The following is a 22,953-nucleotide window of genomic DNA, read 5'->3' on the forward strand; positions in this document are numbered from 1 at the left end:
TTGGAAATCATTTGAACATCTTCTTGCTTCCTGGCACAAAATGTATCCTAGGCTTATCTTGAACATTCTTAATCCTGGCCCTGGAATCAGCCATTTCTCTAAAAAGCTCTGGTTCCTTTCAGTGGAAAATGGTATTAATAAGCCAAGATCTGGCCACTAAGTGTGCTCATTGCTATTGAAATGCCATTGTTACCTAGCCCTATCAGTGGAGAGAAGTAGGGAGTATATGTTTTTTTGTACACACACACAAACACATACATACATTTATGTCTATCTAATTATCTTGTCCTCTTGTTATCTTTTTATCACCTATCTAACCATTTATCTATCTAGAAGGGTATGAATATACATGGATACATCCATTTTAATCTAATTTCATAGGATTCCTGCTAGTTTTCTCCCTTTCTGAATCCATGACTCTTTTCTGCAAAAGTGACACACCTGGCTTCCAGTATACTTTATTTACTTATTTCATCAATCCCCTTTATGTAGTGAAACCTCACCCATCCCTTCCCACTCATGGATGCCCTCCTCACCTCATGCCCTAAATATGTTCTCCATGCCCTGTTTAGGCTCTGGCTGCTTTTTCAGGCCACCCCTCTGTGTCGACATTTTCTCTGCTTGCTTGGACTCCCACACACAGGCCGGGCTGTTTCTCCACGTGAACACCTACTTGATCCTCACCCTACTAGGTCTCTGACTTGGAACCATCATGACACTCTCTTTTCTACCTTAATGTGTGGCCACCATCTGGCTGCCACCCACCTAATGACTTTAGGATAAGTTACTCAGGAAGGGAAAGTAAAGAAAGAAGTGGGAACAGACAAGGAATGAGTGTGTTTAGCCTGTTGCCCAATCAATTGACCAATTGACTGTTTCTTATTAAGTGTTCATTGCAGTAAGACAGTTGGGAGTTGAGAATGGAATGCAAGAGGTGTAAGAAAACATGTTTCCCATCTCCCAGAAATATCAGGGGAGATGGTTTGAAAACATTAAATCAAAACTAATAATATAATAAGGGATTCAGTTGTATGTTATAAAATGTATGTGCTTCAAAAAGGCATAATTTTTTTTTTTTTTTTTTGAGATGGAATCTCACTCTGTCACCCAGGCTGGAGTGTAATGGTGCGTCTCGGCTCACTGCAACCTCTGCCTCCAGGTTCAAGTGATTCTCCTGCCTCAGCCTCCTGGGTAGCTGAGATTATAGGTGCATACCACCACACCTAGCTAATTTTTGTATTTTTAGTAGAGATGGGGTTTCACCATGTTGGTCAGGCTGGTCTCGAACTCCTGACCTCAGGTGATCCACCCACCTCGGCCTCCCAAAGTGCTGGGATTACAGGCATGAGCCACTGTGCTTGGTCAAAAAAGGCATAATTAAACTATGAATGTTCTTTCTAAGCAATGGGCAAAGTCACAGTGGATTAATTCTCACCTATGTTAATAATCACATTGGAGTTCTGACAAATGCCCCACACCAACAATGGTTACAATGATCACATATATTTACTTGTTGGTTCTCATTCATTCAGTTCTATAGATTTCTCCTTAATGTTCAGGAAAGTATCCGATGATACTTTTGTAAGAGGTTTTTATTGATTTGCTTAATATAAACTTATTATAGAATGCTCCAGATAAAACAGATGATATAAATGTCACTGTTAGAGCCATCAAAATAATTCTTATTTTCATTAATAATTTTGGATGAAATTATTGAGAAATTTTGATTCTTTTATCAGAGCTCAGGAGGAGTTAATGGTGCTAACTAGGGGTGGCTGAGATTGTCCTGTGAGAAACAAAGAAGCCAAATCTACTTCCCAAGCACTGATTTGGTCACTTCCTTTATATTCCCAAGTATAACACTCTACACAGACAGGGAGAGAGCTCAGTGCATGTACAGAATCCCTGGTTATTTATGCAGTACAGTGGATGAAGCCCATCTTCATTTCAGGGTACTATTCACAAAGTAATTTGAGGTCTCTGGTGTTCTAGGTCACAGCTTTTTTGAAGAGCAAAGCAGAAGTCCTTAGGGAAATTCAGGTTCCACTTACGGTCCCATCCCTTGACTCAACCTTTAGAACAATGGGTTTTTCTGGTTGAAGAAGTCCTCCTAAGCGTAATTTCAGCGGGATCTGCAACAGTTAAACAAGCATATTGAGAAGCATTAAATAAAGCAAAATTAGAAACTGTAGCATCAAAGTAAACAAAAAATGTATTGCTGACTATGCACATAGTTTGTGACCATTACAAACTATGTGGAAATTCAGGGAGGTAAAGCAAGACAAAGATGTTCCAAGGAAAATATGAGGAGGATTTCATATCAGTTTTGAAATAATTCTCCTTTGCTAAAAGATCAATAACAAGGGTGACACCACACCAAGGTTGGACAGGCAGTCGCTGGGCAGGTGCCCTTGCAGAAATATTTTTGTGTAAGGTTGGGATTGCCTTTGTGCAAACTTGTGGTTTCGCAAAGCGTTTGTGATAGTTGTGTTATCAGGCACACGAGCATGGGAATCCCCTCTTCACAGCCTGCTTTATTTGTCATGATTTTTAAACACACACACTGACACACACACACAAATACACACGTGACATCATTTGGTTCTGACAACGTCCACATTTGCTATTGTAAAACTTTTCAAGGCTTGTCCTACCAAGGATCCCATAAGTCACCTAGTGTCGAGGTCTTCAGTGAAACTAGGCTGGGAGCCTTGTGGTTACCACTTTTCTCCAGACTTTGGTGGCCCAGGGACTCCCAGCATCACGTTCTTTCCAGTGTCTTCCCTTGTTCTTTTTTTCTTCCTTAGGTGACCTTTTATCACATGCATTGTCTCAGACCCTCTAATATGTGCTCATAAATGCATGGCATTATCTCCTTCCCACATCAATACACTTTCAATTAAAAGCCAAAACTCGGGGGGTGGAGCCAAGATGGCCGAATAGGAACAGCTCCGGTCTACAGCTCCCAGTGTGAGTGACACAGAAGACGGGTGATTTCTGCATTTTCATCTGAGGTACCGGGTTCATCTCACTAGGGAGTGCCAGACAGTGGGTGCAGGACAGTGGGTGCAGCGTGCTGTGCACAAGCCGAAGCAGGGCGAGGCATTGCCTCACTTGAGAAGCGCAAGGGGTCAAGGAGTTCCCTTTCCTAGTCAAAGAAAGGGGTGACAGACAGCACCTGGAAAATCAGGTCACTCCCACCCTAATACTGTGCTTTTCCAACGGGCTTAAAAAACGGCACACCAGGAGATTATATCCTGCACATGGCTCGGAGGGTCCTATGCCCATGGAGTCTCACTAATTGCTAGCACAGCAGTCTGAGATCAAACTGCAAGGCGGCAGTGAGGCTGGGGGAGGGGTGCCTGCCATTGCCCAGACTTGATAAGGTAAACAAAGCAGCTGGGAAGCTCAAACTGGGTGGAGCCCACCACGGCTCAAGGAGGCCTGCCTGCCTCTTTAGGCTCCACCTCTGGGGGCAGGGCACAGATGAACAAAAAGACAGCAGTAACCTCTGCAGACTTAAATGTCCCTGTCTGACAGCTTTGAAGAGAGTAGTCATTCTCCCAGCACGCAGCTGGAGATCTGAGAACGGGCAGGCTGCCTCCTCAAGTGGGTCCCTGTCCCCTGAGCAGCCTAACTGGGAGGCACCCCCCCCCCAGTAGGGGCAGACTGACACCTCACACGGCCAGGTACTCCTCTGAGACAAACCTTCCAGAGGAACGATCAGGCAGCAGCATTTGCAGGTCACCAATATCTGCTGTTCTACAGCCACTGCTGTTCTGCAGGCACCACTGCTGATACCCAGGCAAACAGGGTCTGGAGTGGACCTCTAGCAAACTCCAACAGACCTGCAGCTGAGGGTCCTGTCAGAAGGAAAACTAACAAACAGAAAGGACATCCACACCAAAAACCCATCTGTACATCACCATCATCAAAGACCAAAAGTAGATAAAACCACAAAGATGGGGAAAAAACAGAGCAGAAAAACTGGAAACTCTAAAAAGCAGAGTGCCTCTCCTCCTCCAAAGGAATGCAGCTCCTCACCAGCAATGGAACAAAGCTGGATGGAGAATGACTTTGGCAAGTTGAGAGAAGAAGGCTTCAGACGATCAAACTACTCCAAGCTACAGGAGGAACTTCAAACCAATGGCAAAGAAGTTAAAAAGTTGAAATAAAATTAGATGAATGGATAACTAGAATAACCAATACAGAGAAGTCCTTAAAGGAGCTGATGGAGCTGAAGGCCAAGGATTGAGAACTACATGAAGAATGCAGAAGCCTCAGGAGCTGATGCGATCAACTGGAAGAAAGGGTATCAGTGATGGAAGATCAAATGAATGAAATAAAGCGAGAAGGGAAGTTTAGAGAAAAAGAATAAAAAGAAATGAACAAAGCCTCCAAGAAATATGGGACTATGTGAAAAGACCAAATCTACGTCTCACTGGTGGACCTGAAAGCGATGGGGAGAATGGAAGCAAGTTGGAAAACACTCTGCAGGATATTATCCAGGAGAACTTCCCCAATCTAGCAAGGCAGGCCAACATTCAGATTCAGGAAATACAGAGAATGTCAAAAAGATACTCCTCGAGAAGAGCAACTCCAGGACTCATAATTGTCAGATTCACCAAAGTTGAAATGAAGGAAAAAATGTTAAGGGCAGCCAGAGAGAAAGGTCGGGTTACCCACAAAGGGAAGCCCATCAGACTAACAGCTGATCTCTTGGCAGAAACTCTACAAGGCAGAAGAGAGTGGGGACCAATATTCAACATTCTTAAGGGAAAGAATTTTCAACCCAGAATCTCATATCCAGACAAACTAAGCTTCATAAGTGAAGGAGAAATAAAATCCTTTACAGACAAGCAAATGCTGAGAGATTTTGTCACCACCAGGCCTGCCCTAAAAGAGCTCCTGAAGGAAGCACTAAACATGGAAAGGAACAACTGGTACCAGCCACTGCAAAAACATGCCAAAAGGTAAAGACCATCAAGGCTAGGAAAAAAATGCATCAACTAACGAGCAAAATAACCAGCTAACATCATAATGACAGGATCAAATTCACACATAACAATATTAACCTTAAATGTAAATGGGCTAAATGCTCCAATTAAAAGACACAGATGGGCAAATTAGATAAAAAGTCAAGACCCATCAGTGTGCTGTATTCAGGAAACCCATCTCACATGCAGAGCCACACATAGGCTCAAAATAAAGGGATGGAGGAAGATCTACCAAGCAAATGGACAACAAAAAAAGGCAGGGGTTGGAATCCTAGTCTCTGATAAAACAGACTTTAAACCAACAAAGATCAAAAGAGACAAAGAAGGCCATTACATAAAGGTAAAGGGATCAATTCAACAAGAAGAGCTAACTATCCTAAATATGTATGCACCCAATACAGGAGCACCCAGATTCATAAAGCAAGTCCTTAGTGACCTACAAAGAGACTTTGACTCCCACACAATAATAATGGGAGACTTTAACACCCCATTGTCAACATTAGACAGATCAACGAGACCAAAAGTTAACAAGGATACCCAGGAATTGAACTCAGCTCTGCACCAAGCAGACCTAATAGCCATCTACAGAACTCTCCACCCCAAATCAACAGAATATACATTTTTTTCAGCACCACACCTATTCCAAAATTGACCACATAGTTGGAAGTAAAGCACTCCTCAGCAAATGTAAAAGAACAGAAATTATAACAAACTGTCTCTCAGACCACAGTGCAATCAAACTAGAACTCAGGATTAAGAAGCTCACTCAAAACTGCTCAACTACATGGAAACTGAACAACCTGCTCTGGAATGACCACTGGCTACATAACAAAATGAAGGCAGAAATAAAGATGTTCTTTGAAACCAACAAGAACAAAGACACAACATACCAGAATCTCTGGGACACATTCAAAGCAGTATGTAGAGGGAAATTTATAGCACTAAATGCCCACAAGAGAAAGCAGGAAAGATCCAAAATTGACACTCTAACATCACAATTAAAAGAACTAGAAAAGCAAGAGCAAACACATTCAGAAGCTAGCAGAAGGCAAGAAATAACTAAAATCAGAGCAGAACTGAAGGAAATAGAGACACAAAAACCCTTCAAAAAATTAATGAATCCAGGAGCTGGTTTTTTGAAAAGATCAACAAAATTGATAGAACGCTAGCAAGACTAATAAAGAAGAAAAGAGAGAAGAATCAAATAGATGCAATAAAAAATGACAAAGGGGATATCACCACCCATCCCACAGAAATACAAACTACCATCAGAGAATACTACAAACACCTATATGCAAATAAACTAGAAAATCTAGAAGAAATGGATAAATTCCTCGACACATACACCCTCCCAAGACTAAACCAGGAAGAAGTTGAATCTCTGAATAGACCAATAACAGGCTCTGAAATTGTGGCAATAATCAATAGCTTACCAACCAAAAAAGTCCAGGACCCATCGTCTCAGCCCAAAATCTCCTTAAGCTGATAAGCAACTTCAGCAAAGTCTCAGGATACAAAATCAATGTACAAAAATCACAAGCATTCTTATACACCAATAACAGACAAACAGCCAAATCATGAGTGAACTCCCATTCACAATTGCTTCAAAGAGAATAAAATACCTAGGAATCCACCTTACAAGGGATGTGAAGGACCTCTTCAAGGAGAATTACAAACCACTGCTCAATGAAATAAAAGAGGATACAAACAAATGGAAGATCATTCCGTGCTCATGGGTAGGAAGAATCAATATTGTGAAAATGGCCATACTGCCCAAGGTAATTTATAGATTCAATGCCATCCCCATAAAGCTACCAATGACTTTCTTCACAGAATTGGAAAAAACTACTTTAAAGTTCATATGGAACCAGAAAAGAGCCCGCATTGCCAAGTCAATCCTAAGCCAAAAGAACAAAGCCGCAGGCATCACGCTACCTGACTTCAAACTATACTACAAGGCTACAGTAACCAAAACAGCATGGTACTGGTACCAAAACAGAGATATTGGCCAATGGAGCAGAACAGAGCCCTGAGAAAGAATGCCACATATCTACAACCATCTGATCTTTGACAAACCTGACAAAAGCAATGGGGAAAGGATTCCCTATTTAATAAATGGTGCTGGGAAAACTGGCTAGCCATATGTAGAAAGCTGAAACTGGATCCCTTCCTTACAACTTATACAAAAATTAATTCAAGATGGATTAAAGACTTACATGTTAGACCTAAAACCATAAAAACCTTAGAAGAAAACCTAGGCAATACCATTCAGTACAGAGGCATGGGCAAGGACTTCATGTCTAAAACACCAAAAGCAATGGCAACAAAAGCCAAAATTGACAAATGGGATCTAATGAAACTAAAGAGCTTCTGCACAGCAAAAGAAACTACCATCAGAGTGAACAGGCAACCTACAGAATGGGAGAAAATTTTTGCAACCTACTCATCTGACAAAGGGCTAATATCCAGAATCTACAATGATCTCAAACAAATTTACAAGAAAAAAACAACCCCATCAACAAGTGGGTGAAGGATATGAACAGACACTTCTCAAAAGAAGACATTTATGCACCCAACAGACACATGAAAAAATGCTCATCATCACTGGCCATCAGAGAAATGCAAATCAAAACCACAATGAGATACCATCTCACACCAGTTAGAATGGTGATCATTAAAAAGTCAGAAAACAACAGGTGCTGGAGAGGATGTGGAGAAATAGGAACACTTTTACACTGTTGGTGTGACTGTAAACTAGTTCAACCATTGTGGAAGTCAGTGTGGCGATTCCTCAGGGATCTAGAACTAGGAATACCATTTGACCCAGCCATCACATTACTGGGTATATACCCAAAGGATTATAAATCATGCTGCTATAAAGACACATGCACACTTATGTTTATTGTGGCACTATTCACAATAGCAAAGACTTGGAACCAACCCAAATGTCCAACAACGATAGACTGGATTAAGAAAATGTGGCACATATACACCATGGAATACTATGCAGCCATAAAAAATGAAGAGTTCATGTCCTTTGTAGGGACATGGATGAAGGTGGAAACCATCATTCTCAGCAAACTATCGCAAGGACAAAAAACCAAACACCGCATGTACTCACTCAAAGGTTGGAATTGAACAATGAGAACACATGGACACAGGAAGGGGAACATCACACTCCGGGGACTGTTGTGGGGTAGGGGGAGGGGGTAGGGATAGCATTAGGAGATATACCTAATGCTAAATGACGAGTTAATGGGTGTGGCACACCAACATGGCACATGTATACATATGTAACAAACCTGCACATTGTGCACATGTACCCTAAAACTTAAATAATAATAAAATAAAATAAACCTTCTGTCTCATTGATCTGTCTAATATTGACAATGGGGTGTTAAAGCCTCTCATTATTATTGTGTGGAGTCTAAGTCTCTTTATAGGTCTCTAAGGACTGCTTTATGAATCTGGGTGCTCCTGTATTGGGTGCATATATATTTAGGATAGTTAGCTCTTCTTGTTGAATTGATCCCTTTATCATTATGTAGTGGCCTTCTTTGTCTTTTTTGATCTTTGTTGGTTTAAAGTCTATTTTATCAGAGAATAGGATTGCAACCCCTGCTTTTTTTTGCTTTCTGTTTGCTTAGTAGATCTTCCTCCATCCTCTTATTTTGAGCCTATGTGTGTCTTTGCATGTGAGGTGGGTCTCCTGAACACAGCACACCAATGGGTCTTCACTCTTTATCCAGTTCATCAGTCTGTGTCTTTTAATTGGGGCATTTAGCCCATTTACATTTAAGGTTAATATTGATATGTGTGAATTTGATCCTGCAATTATGATGTTAGCTGGTTATTTTGCCCATTAATTGATGCAGTTTCTTCATAGCATCGATGGTCTTTACCATTTGGCATGTTTTTGCAGTGTCTGGTAGCAGTTCTTTCTTTCCATGTTTAGTGCTTCCTTCAGGAGCTCTTGTAAGGCAGGCCTGGTGGTGACAAAATCTCTCAGCATTTGCTTGTCTGTAAAGTATTTTATTTCTCCTTCACTTATGAAGCTTAGTTTGGCTGGATAAGAAATTTTGGGTTGAAAATTCTTTTCCCTAAGTATGTTGAATATTGACCCCCAATCTCTTCTGTTTTGTAGGGTTTCTGCTGAGAGATCTGCTGTTAGTCTGGTGGACTTCCCTTTGTGGGGAAGCCGACCTTTCTCTCTGGCTGCCCTTAACATTTTTTCCTTCATTTCAACCTTGGTGAATCTGATAATTATGTGTCTTGGGGTTGCTCTTTTTGAGGAGTATCTTTGTGGTGTTCTCTGTATTTCCTGAATTTGAATGTTGGCCTGCTTTGCTAGTTTGGGGAAGTTCTCTTGGATAATATCCTGAAGAGTGTTTTCTGACTTGGTTCCATTCTCCCTGTCCCTTTCTGATACACCTGTCAAATGTAGATTTGGTCTTTTCACATAGTCCCATATTTCTTGGAGGCTTTGTTCATTTCTTTTCACTTTTTTTTCTCTAATCTTGTCTTCTTGCTTTATTTCATTAGTTTGATCTTTGATCACTGATATCCTTTCTTACAGTTGATCGAATCGGCTATTGAAGCTTGTGCATGCATCACGAAGTTCTTGTACCATGGTTTTGAGCTGTCAGGTCATTTAAGGTCTTCTTGACACTGTTTATTTTAGTTAGCCATTCATGTAACCTTTTTCCAAGGTTGTTAGCTATCTTGTGATGGGTTAGAACATGCTCCTTTAGCTCGGATAAGTTTGCTAATACCGACCTTCTGAAGACTACTTCTGTCAACTCATCAAACTCATTCTCTGTCCAGTTTTGTTCCCTTGCTGGTGAGGAGCTGTGATCTTTCGGAGGAGAAGAGATGCTCTGTTTTTTGGAATTTTCAGCTGTTTTGCTCTGGTTTCTTCCCATCTTTATGGTTTTATCTATCTTTGGTCTCTGATGTTGGTGACCTACAAATGGGGTTTTGGTGTGGATGTCCTTTTTGTTGATGTTGATGCTATTTCTGTCTGTTAGTTTTTCTTCTAACAGTCAGACTCCTCAGCTGCAGGTCTTTTGGAGTTTGCTGGAGGTCCTCTTCAGACCCTGTTTGCCTGGGTATTACCTGCAGAGGCTGCAGAACAGCAAATATTTCTGCCTCATCCTTCCTCTGGAAGCTTCATCCCAGAGGGGCACCCGCATGTTTGAAGTGTCTGTCGGCCTCTACTGGAAAGTGGTTCCCAGTCAGGCTACAGGGGGGTCAGGAACACATTTGAGGAGGCAGTCTATCCGTTCTCAGAGCTCGAATACCGTGCTGAGAGAACCACTGCTCTCTTCAGAGCTGTCAGACAGGGACGTTTAAGTCTGCAGAGGCTGTCTGTCTCCTGTGTTTTGTTCTACTCTGCCCTGCCCCCAGAAGTGGAATCTACAGAGGCAGTAGGCCTTGCTGAGCTGCGGTGGGCTCCACCCACTTCGTGCTTCCAGGCCTCTTTGTTTACACAGTAAGCTACTCAAGCCTCAGCAATGGCTGATACCCCTCCTCTATCAAGCTGCAGCATATCAGGTGGATCTCAGACTGCTGCACTAGCAGTGAGCAAGTCTCCGTGGGTGTGGCACCTGCCGATCGAGGCACGGGAGGGTATCTCCTGGTCTGCCTGTTGCTAAGACTCAGTTGGAAATGCAGAAGTCACCTATCTTCTGCCTCAATCTTGCTGGGAGCTGCAGACTAGAGCTGTTCCTATTCGGCCATCTTGGAAATGCTTCCCTTGATTAATATTTCAAATATACTTAACCCTGCGTCTAATTGGGGCTGAAAACAGTTGAATCCAATGAAATCAGACTTGCTGGCAGTTAGAGGAATCTTATTTGGAGACATCATAAGGGAAAGGAGAGAAAACAGAGGAGGTATTTGAAATGGGAAATTTAAAATCACTCTTGAATTTTCTCAAAGTGCTGTAGATACTGAATGACTTATCATTGTGTGTAAACTAGGTAACTCCTTGTCTTTCTGATGCCTTTTTGCTTTTTCATGTATTGTCTCTAAAATCTCATAAATCCTTGAATGATCACCTCCAGGGGCACATGGGGAAACTGAGGCTGAGGGAAAGAGAGTGAGTGTCAGAAGGGAATGCACAGTCTTTTATCTCTGTTCATCATCCTTTTCATTTATTTCATCAGCTCGCTCTAGAATTCTAGCAGAATTAGGAAGTTACAGACATCAGGGACCTCTTTTAGTCTAGCAGATTTAGATAAGTCTGAGGCATGTTGTTGAGTGAGAAAAGGAGTGAGTGACAGAATGACAAAGTGGACTCACTTTCCAGTTTTCCAGCTTAACATGGAAGTTCTGAGAAAATGTCCCCTCTACACATTGGACACAGCAAATTACAACACTTGCTCAGCGTTTTCACTGAAACTGAAAAACAAACTTTCCTGTTTTCTACATTTCAGGGTTGATGTTTTACCTGTGCAAACAAAGATCCCAGGAATGTTTATCTTGGGGGGTACATCTACTAAAGAACTGACCTAGAAAAGGTGGCGGGGAAATTATTGCTTTTGCAAAGGGAAAAATATGAAATTCCTGGGCAGTAATTAGACAACAAAACCCTCACTTGGAAGAATTGGAATCAGGGAAACAAGCCTCAGGTATGCGGGAAAGATGATCTAAGCCACAGAGCTGACTACTGCTGCTGCTGGCCCTGTGGAGATAAGCTCATAATTTTCCATCCAGAGGCCAGGCCCTAGACAGAGCATCAGACCAGGTTAGGCACAAAGGCTCGACCAAAGTTCACAGTCCATGTGGCACATATGACATTTTATTCAGCAAAATTAAATATTTAATAATTTCATCAAATTATCACCTTTCTAGTGATTTTGCATATGATTCTGCCTTTGTTTAAAAAAAAAACCACAAATTCATTTTATGCTTAAATATCTGAGTTTGATAGATAACCACTATCTCATCTCAGTTATATCCACTCCCTGCTCAGACTCACCCATAAGGTGCAGCCTTTGAAATAAAAGAAGTAAAGCAGAACACCTTTGCTCTGACTCCCAAAGCTGCAAAAGATGTCATGGGGAGTAAGAGCTGGGGTAGAGCCATGGAAATACCTTCAGGGGATTTAGCATTTTTTGGAGAGGATTCAAGCAAGTGCGAATGACCCAATGGTAAATACTTGAGCTCCCTAATAAAGTGAGTTTCAAAGCTGTCCAGGAGGTAGGGGAAAAAGGCTACTCCTGAGCTCTTGCTATAGAGAGGAAAGTTTGACTCTCATGTACACAGATAGCAAGCCACAAATGGGGGCTCCTTTTCCTACTCTTAATACTAACTAAATATGACTGTACCTTCCTGGGAACCTACATGGGGCAAAAGAAAAATGTTCTTTATGGTGCTCACAAAGTCTGCACATCAAGTTCTGAACATCAGGTTGCCGATATACCTGAGATTTGGACTGTTCAACTGAGGCAAACCTGAGGTTCCTGAGAGTTAGCAAGAGAGTCCCGGGGTAAACCTTGCCATGCTCTGGATGATGCCTATACACTGTTTCTGAAAGTGTAAAACCTCAGACCTTCCTCCTGAGGAGAAGCAGTTTTACTGATGGAACTAAGCTGCTCTCTCCAATCATAAGAAGCCAAAGAGTGAGCTCAAAAACACTCACCTGATGGTAGGACAAAGTAGTTCCCAAAAAAAGCAGAGGTGTGGGCCCTGGAATGCCAAGCTTCTTAAAAAGTCCATGTGAATGGGCTCCATATCTACAAACTGAATCAGAAATCAGGTCTCAGGGATTGTGACTTTATAGATATGGGGGCTGGTAAGTCACTGACTGAGGAACTGGAATGCTCAAGAGAAGGAGGTAACATTAAGGCAATAAATGATAACAGTAACTCTGACAGCAATGATTATATTTGTACATCAAGTCCTTTCCCGTCTCCACCATGAGACACCAAAAAGTCACAATGATTAGTCGAAAGCAGCAGAAGTCTTTATGGTCCCAATCCTGGAATGAATACTTGATAAATGTCCTCAAACGTGAGTGCTCCTCAGAGGTTCAGGAAGGAATTCTTCCAGGGCACTTCATTTCCTTATGTCTATTTAGTAAGTGGACTCTTCCCTGATTTGGGGATTCTCATCCTAGGCAGAAAGGGTGACTTTTTTTTTTTTTCTCTTCTGCAGTGATGATGAGATTTTGCATCACTGCATCCACTCAGTCACAGAGGGTCACTGAGAGCCTATGGTGACCATGTCTTTAGAATTTGTGAAGAGTCTTTTATACTTTCCTTTCCCTCTAAGCTCTGACCCTATTTTAGGATCTGGCCCTTCTTAAACTGTCATTCATAGAGGGGTGTCAGAGGAGTCACAGAGTCCTTATTTCTACAGATTGACAACTGTGCTGAAGGCTTCCATTGGCCTCGTAGAAATGCAAGCACCTTTCAGCTACACCTCAGTCTCTGTGGCCAGATGATCTGGTTGATTTGCGCTATTGGGGAGGATGATTAACTCATATTTCCCTGAATGACAGTGTGCAGAAGATCCACAACTTAAAAAACCAATTTCCAGGACATTCCTCCTCTTGTGGAATCTAGCCTTCCAACTGGTGGTATTCACCTGATAATAAGCACACTGCCAGTGATATGGTCTGAATCTGCCCCTACGCAAATCTCATGTGGAAATGTAATCCCCAATGCTGGTGGTGGGGCCTGATGGAAGGCGATTGTATCTTAGGGGCAGTTTCTCCTGGTTTCACACCAACCCCCTTTGGGTGTTTCCTCGTGACAATGAGTTTTTATGAGATGTGGTGGCTTATAAGTGTGTGGCACCTCCTCCCCACCCTCTCTTGCTTCTGCTCCAGCCATGTAATATCTGCCTACTTCTCCTTCACCCTCTGCCATGATTGAACATTTCCTGAGGGCTCCCTAGAGGCAGAAGTCGCTATGCTTCCTGTAGGGCCTGTAGAACCATGAGCCAATTAAATCTCTTTTATTTATAAATTACCCAGCCTCAGGTATTTCTTTACAGCGATGTAGGAAAGGACTAATACACCCAGATATGCTCACTTTTTTCAAGGTGATCAATCACAAAGCAGTCAGTTTATTGCCTCTGCACATCAAGTATCTCTGTAGGAAAACCCATTAAGGCTGCTGCTCCCTATGGCAGGCCTGCTTGCAACTCATCTTTGATGGGTCATGTATGGACTCCCCCAACTGAGGGTTCTGGATATCTGAAGACCTTCCCAGTCTGATGTTACTGAGGGGTGGAAGACTGGAGGAAGAAGAAAGGCTGATGGCAGACATCACCAGCCATCAACTCAACCGTGAATCTGCTAGTCCCACAAGGTTGGTCCCAGAGAGGCAAATTAGGAAAATGTGGCTGAAAAGTATGGTGTATATAAATGGATCCATATGCGTCATGTGTGCTTTCAGCTGAAAGACAGGCACCTTCTAATGTCCAGGTACCTTCCTGTTGATAGCAAAAGGTACAGTATTCCACATAAGTAAACATAAAATGTTCCAGACAGTTGAATGAAGACCTTGTTTTCTCTTCTATAATGGGTAGCACTTAAGGCAGTATAGGTTCCAAACATTCTGTACAAATCCAGTGACTCTGATAATATGTGGTAAAATACAACTGAGAAATGGCATGGAGGGTCGTGTTTGGAGATCCCAGCAGAGGCAGCATATAGTGCATTTGGATCCTTGCCCCAGAATAGTTAGTGGAAATGTGTGCACCATCTACTGAAACCAGGGTGGCCTTGGGTTTTCTACTCCTGTTCCTTCTTTTATTGTCACAGCTATGGCAAATCAATGACACTAATCTCTGCTTCTACACTTTCTAGAAGTTACGTGATCTCTCAGGTCAGGACAAACTATTGAGTTAATCTGTCAGCAGCACTGTCCCCCAAGGAAAGATCTAGGTGAGTGTCTAGACTCACATGGTTCCATGTCAAGGCAGAGGCTGTGCTGGGCAAACTGTTTAGTTTCTTTCTAGCTCCCCTCTGGTAGAGTAATACCACTTTTGGTTCCAATGAAGAGGCTAACAGAAAAGCCAGTCATCTATTGCACGTAATTGTGTTGGCCTAAGGAGGGCATGGTCTACACTACAGTTTCTGACTCCTGGGCTGCACCAGCATTGTCTAAGGCTAAGGCATTGTCTGCCTGGCTGCCCGAGTCTGTAGTGACCGCCCCACAACATGGCAGACCACGCACACAGTGACACATTTGATGTCCCTGTGTCCAGGCTTGAAGCAGATGAGATGCCAACCTGTTTGCCTTTTGAGTGACCTCCACTGTGGGGCCAGGACCCATGAATATCTCTTTGGAGTTCTACCCTGAGAGCTGAGGAATATTTTCTTACTTCATACGGATCCTACGTGGATGCCTTTGCTATCATCACTAGCTCACAGTATTGCTTACTCCCCTGCCTGACAGTTTAAGATAACCTGCTAAGCAGGTATATTCAAAAAGGAGGTATTAAAATAAACTGTCAGGCATGTATATTTAAAAAGACATATCTTTTTAAATATAAAAAGATATACATAAATATGTATATCGCAGTCTTGTCTTAGCGATATACATTCATGCTTTAGACTCATATTCCTGACATTATTCTGGAGAGGTGATGTTATTTTACACACATTTATTGTCACAAATACTGAACTAACAGCCCTCTTTCATCATCCAGAAGGAACATGCTGGAAATATTCCATCTCCAAAAAATTCTGATTTAAAAATGAATGAATTTAAACCATATCAATTCATTTTAAAATGTTAGACAATGGAAACCATGTTGCCACAACTCACTGAATTCCTAAGCTTTCTGTGAAAAAATTAAAATGAAGTTTATATTTCCTATTTTCATGTCATTGTTGTTGCCTGCTCTTAAAAGTCAAATTGAGGTAGAAGTTAATGGGACAGGTGGAGCCTCCACTAACCACAGTGGAAAGTAACTCTTCTCTCCACCTGCTCTAGGATGCCAGGAATCCCACCAGTGAGAGGGTTCATCCTCCTTTACTGTAACACAAAGGGGAAAAAATGTGTAAAATCCAAATTGGCTTTCACAGCTCCTGCCTTTTCAGGCTGCTAGCAGATTCCCATTAGCTGAGAAACAAAGCTCTATATTAATGCTAGCCTCCCAGAGACGGGAGGAAAAAGATTAAAGCAAAGAATAAATCTTCAAAACTTCCTCCAAGTCTCCTTTGCTCTGGAGATTAATCATTGCAAGGTAAATAGTTCTGTGTATGACAGGGTGGAGGAGTGAGTCATAGGAGGGAGGGGATGTTTTGGGACATGGCACAGGAAAGAGGGAAGAGCCGGGGGACAGCTTCCCGTGAAGTCTTGGTGTTCCCCGGTGTGTTATGTAAATGATATCCTGGGGTGGAAGTTAGGGGAGCAGGAACCACCAGGTCCACAGAGGAAAAACTTCTACACATCTCTTCCAGCAGACAGAGAACCCAGAAAATGAAGGTAATGAGACAAAAACCCAAGCTGCTCCCTCCTGCCCCCAGAATCCCGAGAACCTGGGAAGGGGATGAGGATCACACTTCTCGTCTTGTTCAGCAGTTTGTAATCTGCCTTTGCTGGGTTTTCATTTTCATTGATTAGTATAGGTCAAATCTAAGCTAATCAAATCATTCCCACTAACAAATGCTGTCCCCAAACCCTCCTAGTCACCAAAATTAGAAGGTGGCTGGGACAAATGCTTATTTATTTCTTCATAAATCTGCATAAGATCAATAATAACCTCTATGTGTTTGTAGCATCCAAGAAGCTACTCCTCCTTGAACATCTCTTTTGATCTTTAAAACAGATGAGGGAACAGGGGCCTGAGTAGCACCCCAAGTCCAAGTTAACAGAGGAGAGGAATCTGGACAGTTACTGACAGATAGAGGAGCACAAGGCTGACAGCCAGGAGAAGCCAGGTTTCCACCGCCAAATTTGGGATGAGGTCCATCGCCACTTGCCTTCTTCAACTGTCTCCTCTGAGTCTTACTTTCAGCTGTGTGCTGTTGTTTGCTGGGCTGTCTGCCTGGAGCATCCCTGCCCTGCACAGCAGTCTTAGGTCAAGCTGCTGAAATGTTTATGTGCTGGAGAAGGAGGCGGGGCTGCAGCTGCAGCCAGTAGCAAAGAATCGCACACACCCCTTTGCTTACCTCCTTTGAGTTCATATTCTATGGGGAATCATAAACAACTTAATCAGTTTTATCAGGGAGTCCACGGAACCTGAGTTCTTATCAGAAACTGAAGTGGAGCCATTGGCATGAAGCCTCTTAAATATCCTCTCACCTGCCCTTGTTTCCATGGCTGTCTTCATTCCAGAATACTTGAAATCCATCCCCACAAGCCACAACTGCAGATCTTTACCCATGCAATTCCCTCTGCCTGGAGTGTACTTGTGCCCCCTAGATGACTCCTACACATCCTTGCACGCCCAGCCAGACAGACCCCTTCTGTTAAAGTCTTTCCTTACCAACCTCCTCACACAGATGTAACCATTTCCTCCTCTGGGTGCCTCCTATCCCCCTCACACAGTCCTATTGTCCTATTTCCTCTCTACCACCCTTGTGGGTTTCTGTGCCTGTTTCCCTTAGCAGAGGTGAGTTCCTCAAGGGCACAGTCTGGTATTATTTACTTTCATGACCCTGGACCCTAGCAGGGTACTGTACACATGGTGGGTGACCAGAAATGTTGGTGGAGTTGACTTGGGTGAGATTGCTGGGCCCCTGTGTGTCATCCCCTCTGAGTCTGTGGTGATAGCAATAGACTAATGGTTGCTTGGGGCTCAGATGCAGCCAGCACTGTTTCCCAACTAATGCAATTGGTCTTGTTCTGCAAAGGAAAATAATAGAAGGCATGTTCTGCCACTTAATTCCTCAGAAGGTAACATACATGAAGAGACTTACCTGTTGAGAGTTGTACTGAATGTGTCAAGGAAGATACTATGTATCAGAAGAACACCCAACCACCCTGTGCCTCTCACCTATTCATTCCTGTATTAAAGCATTCATCATGTATTCTAATGGCTGTGCTCCCTGTACTTAGGGTACAAAATTGACTAAGACCCAGACATTAGCTCAATTGTTTTGATTTGTAGATCCCACAAATAAGTGAGAACATGCAATGTCTGTCTTTGTGTGCCTGGCTTATTTTACCTAACATAATGACCTGCAGTTCCAGCCACGTTATTATAAAGGACAGGATCTCATGCTTTTTTCATGGCTGAATTGTACTCCATTGTGCATAAGTGAAGTACTCTCTTTACCCATTCATCTGTTGATGGACATGTAGGTTGCTTCCAAATCTTGGCATTTGTGAATAGCAGCTATTGGGAACATGGGAATGAAGATATCTCTTCAATATATGGATTTCCTTTCTTCCTGGTTTATACCCAGCACCGGGATTTCTGGATCTTATGATAGGTCCATTTTAATGTTTTGAGGAACCTCCAAACTGTTCTCTATAGTGGTTGTAATAATTTACACCAACAGTGTACGAGAATTCCCTTTTCTCCACATTCTCACTGGCATTTGTTATTGCCTGTCTTTTGGATTAAAACCATTTTAGCTGGGGAGAGATGACATTGTAGTTTTGATTTGCATTTCTCTGATGATCAATGATGTTGAGCACATTTTCATATAACTATGTGGCATTTGTATTTCTTCTTTTGAGAAATGTCTGTATAAATATTTTGCCCATTTTTTGATTATTAGGATTATTGAATTTTTTCCAAAGAGTTGTTTGTGCTCTGTGTATATTCTGGATGTTAATCTGTTGTCAGAGTGTTTGAAAATATTTTCTCCCATTCTGTGGTTTGCGTCTTCACTTTGTTGATTGCTTTCTTTGCAGCACAGAAACTTTTTAACTTGATGTGATTCCATTTGTCCATTTTTGCATTGGTTGCCTGTGCTTGTGGGGTATTACTTCAGCATTTTTTGTTCAGACCAATGTCCTGAAGAGTTTCCACAATGTTTCCTGTAGCAGTTTCATCATTTGAGATCTTAGATTTCAGTCTTTTTTTTTTTTTTTGGAACCAGAGTCTTACTCTGTTGCCCAGGCTGGCATGCATTGGTATGATCTTGGCTCACTGCCACCTATGCCTCATGGGTCCAAGTGATTCTCCCACCTCAGCCTCCTGAGTAGCTGGGACTACAGGCATGCACCACCATGCCCAGCTAACTTTTGTATTTTTTGGTAGAGATAGGGTTTCACCTTATTGGCCAGGCTGGTCTTGAACTCCTGACCTCAAGTGATCTGTCTGCCTCAGCCTCTCAAAGTGCTGGGATCACAGGCATGAGCCACCGTGTTTGGCCAGATTTCAGTCTTTCATCCACCTTGATTTGATTTTTGTGTCTGGTGAGATATAGGGGTCTAGTTTCATTCTTCTGCATATTGATATCCAGCTTTCCCAGCACCAGAGGAGACCGTCTTTTCCCCAGTGTATGTTCTTGAAAACATTGTCAAAAATGAGTTCACTCCAGGTGTGTGGACTTGTTTCTGGGTGCTCTATTCTATTTCATTGGTCAATGTGTCTGTTTTTATACAAACACCATACTGTTTTGGTTATTATACCCCTGTAGTATAATTTGAAGTCAGGTAATAAGATTTCTCCAGTTTTGTTCTTTTTGCTGAAGATAGCTTTGGCTATTCTGGGTATTTTGTGGTTCTATAGAAATGTTAGAATTTTTTCCTCTATTTCTTTGAAGAATGTAATTGGTATTTTGAGGGATTGCATTGAATCTGTACATTGCTTTGGGTAGTGTGGACAGTTTTAACAATATTGATTCTTACAATATGTAAACATGGAATATCCTTCTGTTTTTGTGTCTTCTTCAATTTCCTTCATCAGTGTTTTACAGTATTCATTATAGAGATCTCTCTCTTCTTTGATTAAGTTAATTCTTAGGTATTTAGTTTTATTTGTGGCTATTGTAAATGGGATTACTTTTTTATTTTTGCCAAATTGTTCACTATTGGCATATAGAAATGCTACTAATTTTTGTATGTTGATTTTGTATCCTGCAACTGCAACTTTACTGAATATTTTATCAGTTCTAGTAGTTCCTTGGTGGAGTCTTTAGGTTTTTGCAAATATCATTTGAAAATAATTTGGAGTTATCATTTGGAGGGTCTTTTTCAAATATCATTTCCAAACATTACTTGGAAATCATTTGAACATTTTCTTGCTTCCTGGCACAAAATGTGTCCTAGGCTTGTCTTGAACCTTCTTAACCCTGGCCCTGGAATCAGGCATTTCTCTAAAGAGCTCTGGTTCCTTTCCATGGAATATGGTATTCATAAGCCAAGACTTGGGCGCTAAGTGTGCTCATTGCTATTGAAATGTCATTGTTACCTAGACCTATCAGTGAAGAGAAGTAGGAAATATATGGTTTTTTTTGTACACACACACAAACACATGTATACATTTCATCTATCTATATATCTATCGTATATCTGTTATCTATCACCTATCTACCCATCTATCCATCTAGAAGGGTATGAATATACACGAATACATCCATTCCAATCTAATTTCATAGGATTCATGCTAGTTTTCTCCCTTTCTGAATCCATGACTCCGTTCTTCAAAGATGAGAAGCCTGGCTTCTATCATCCTTAATATATTTACTTCTTTGATAAATCCCCTTTATGTAACCAAACCTCACCCATCACTTCCCACTCATGGATGCCCTCCTGACCTCACATGGGTTCTCCATGCTCTATTTAGGCTCTGGCTGCTCTTGTAGGCCACACCTCTCTATGAACCCCTTCTCTGCTTGCTTGGACTCCCACACCCAGGCAGGCTGTTTCCACATGAACACCCAGTTTGTCCTCATCCTACTTGGTCTCTGACTTGGAACCACCATGACTCTCTTCTCTACCTTAATGTGTGGCCACCATCTGGCTGCCACCCACCTAATGGCTCTAGGGCTAAATTATTCAGAAAGGGAAAATAAAGGAAGAAATAGGAAAAGAAAAGAAATGAGTAGTTTCAGCCTTGTTGTCCAATCAATTGACCAATCAACTGTTTTTTTTATTAAATGTTCATTGCATTTAGACAGTTGGGAGTTGAGGATGGAATGCAAGAGGTGTAAGAAAACATATTTCCTGTCTCCCAGAAATATCAGGGGAGATGGGCTGAAAACATTAAATGAAAACTAATAATATAATACTGGCTTCAGTTGTATGTTACAAAATATATGTGCTACAAAAAGGCATAATTTTATTTTTTAGATGCAGTCTCACTCTGTCACTCAGGCTGGAGTTCAGTGGCATGATCTTGGCTCACTGCAGCCTCCACCTCCCAGGTTCAAGCAATTCCCCTGCCTCAGCCTCCTGGGTAGCTGAGATTACAGGCGTGTGCCACCATACCTAGCTAATTTTTGTATTTTTAGTAGAAAGGGGGCTTCACTATGTTGGTCAGGCTGGTCTTGAACTCCTGGCCTCAGATGATCTGCCTGCCTTGGCCTCCCAAAGTGCTGGGATTACAGGTGTGAGCCACTGTGTCTCATCAAAAATGTCATAATTAAACTATGAATATTCTTTCTAAACAATGGGCAAAGTCATAGTGGGTTAACTCTCACCTATGTTAATAATCAAATTGGGCTGGGCACCGTGGCTCATGCCTGTAATCCCAGCACTTTGGGAGGCCCAGGCAGGTGGATCATAAGGTCAGGAGATCGAGAGCATCCTGGCTAACACAGTGAAACTCCGTCTGTACTAAAAATAGAAAAATTAGCCGGGCGTGGTGGCAGGCACCTGTAATCCCAGCTACTCAGGAGGTTGAGGCAGGAGAATGGCGTGAACCTGGGAGGCAGAGCTCGCAGTGAGCCAAGATTGCACCACTGCACTCCAGTTCCCACACCAACAGTGATTACAATGATCAAAATATTTAGTTGTTGGTTCTCAGTCATTCAGTTCTATAGATTTCTCCTTAATGTGCAGGAAACATCCAATAATACTTTTGTAAAGAGGTTTTTATTGATTTGCTTAATATAAAGCTTACTATAGAATACTACAGATATAACACATGATATAAATGTCACTGTTAGAGCCATCAAAATAATTCCTATTTTTATTAATGATTGTGGTTGAAATTATTGAGAAATGTTAATTATGTTATCAGAGCTCAGGAGGAGTTAATGGTGCTAACTGGGGGTGGTGGAGATAGTCCTATGAGAAGCAGAGAAGCCAAATCTACTTCCCCAGCACTGATTTGGTCATCTCCTCTATATTACCAAGTATAACACTCTATACAGACCATGAGAGAGCACAATGCACGTACAGAATCCCTGATTATTTATGCAGCACATTGGATGAAGCCCGTCTTCATTTCAGGGTTCTATTTGTAAAGTAATTTGAGGTCTCTGGTGTTCTGGGGCACAGCTTTCTTAAAGAGCAAACCAGAAGTCCTTAGGGAAATCAGGCTCCACTTACGGTCTCATCCCTTGACTCAGCCTTTAGAACAATGGGTTTTTCTGTTAGAAGAAGTCCTCCAAAGCGTAATTTCAGGGGGATCTGCAACAGTTAAACGAGCATATTGAGAAGCATTAAATAAAGCAAAAGTAGAAAGTATAGCATCAAAGTAAAAAAAAATTACTGACAATAATGCTTTGTAAACATATAAAAACTACTTTCAGCACTATAAATCTTGGATTCGTTATACTTACTCTATAAGATGTGTGAAGATTGGATAGTGAGAACATTCATCATCTATCATTTAACAAAATATTCATGGAGCACCTATTCTGTGTGAGGTTTGACCTGAGACAAATTCATGGGAACCCGTGTTCTTTTTTGATTTAAATTTTAACGAAAATGGATGAGTTTTAAAAATTTAAACCAGATTATTAGGTATAACGGTAAACTTTTTAAACCATCTTATGAAGTTAATTTTGTGTATGTTGAAACTTGCAAGGTAATCCTGAGTAGCTATTGTACATTTTAATTATGTGGACAGTCTTCAACTTCCACAGTCC

At 41.7% G+C, this 22,953-nt stretch overlaps 3 protein-coding genes and 1 pseudogene across 6 annotated transcripts in view; 1 reads left to right on the forward strand and 3 right to left on the reverse strand.

Moving 5' to 3' along the window:
- Positions 1-22,953, forward strand: part of ZSCAN25 (zinc finger and SCAN domain containing 25) — a 121,090-nt gene that overhangs the window by 66,158 nt on the left and 31,979 nt on the right. The gene's annotated exons all lie outside the window — the stretch shown is intronic.
- CYP3A7-CYP3A51P (CYP3A7-CYP3A51P readthrough) overlaps positions 1,574-22,953 on the reverse strand; it is a 50,520-nt gene continuing 29,140 nt past the window's right edge. Inside the window, exons 13-15 of the mRNA NM_001256497.3 lie at positions 22,412-22,492; positions 12,643-12,743; positions 1,574-2,132 (exon numbers count right to left, since the gene is read on the reverse strand). Of these exons, the coding sequence (NP_001243426.2) occupies positions 2,123-2,132; positions 12,643-12,743; positions 22,412-22,492 (192 nt within the window). The 3' untranslated portion in view covers positions 1,574-2,122. The remainder of the gene's footprint in view (positions 2,133-12,642; positions 12,744-22,411; positions 22,493-22,953) is intronic.
- On the reverse strand, positions 1,921-17,017 carry CYP3A51P (cytochrome P450 family 3 subfamily A member 51, pseudogene; annotated as a pseudogene).
- Positions 21,933-22,953, reverse strand: part of CYP3A7 (cytochrome P450 family 3 subfamily A member 7) — a 30,161-nt gene continuing 29,140 nt past the window's right edge. Inside the window, exon 13 of the mRNA NM_000765.5 lies at positions 21,933-22,492. Within this exon, the coding sequence (NP_000756.3) occupies positions 22,397-22,492 (96 nt within the window). The 3' untranslated portion in view covers positions 21,933-22,396. The remainder of the gene's footprint in view (positions 22,493-22,953) is intronic.

Source organism: Homo sapiens, chromosome 7 (assembly GCF_000001405.40).
Source record: "Homo sapiens chromosome 7, GRCh38.p14 Primary Assembly".
In the NCBI taxonomy this organism is placed as follows: Eukaryota; Metazoa; Chordata; class Mammalia; order Primates; family Hominidae; genus Homo; species Homo sapiens.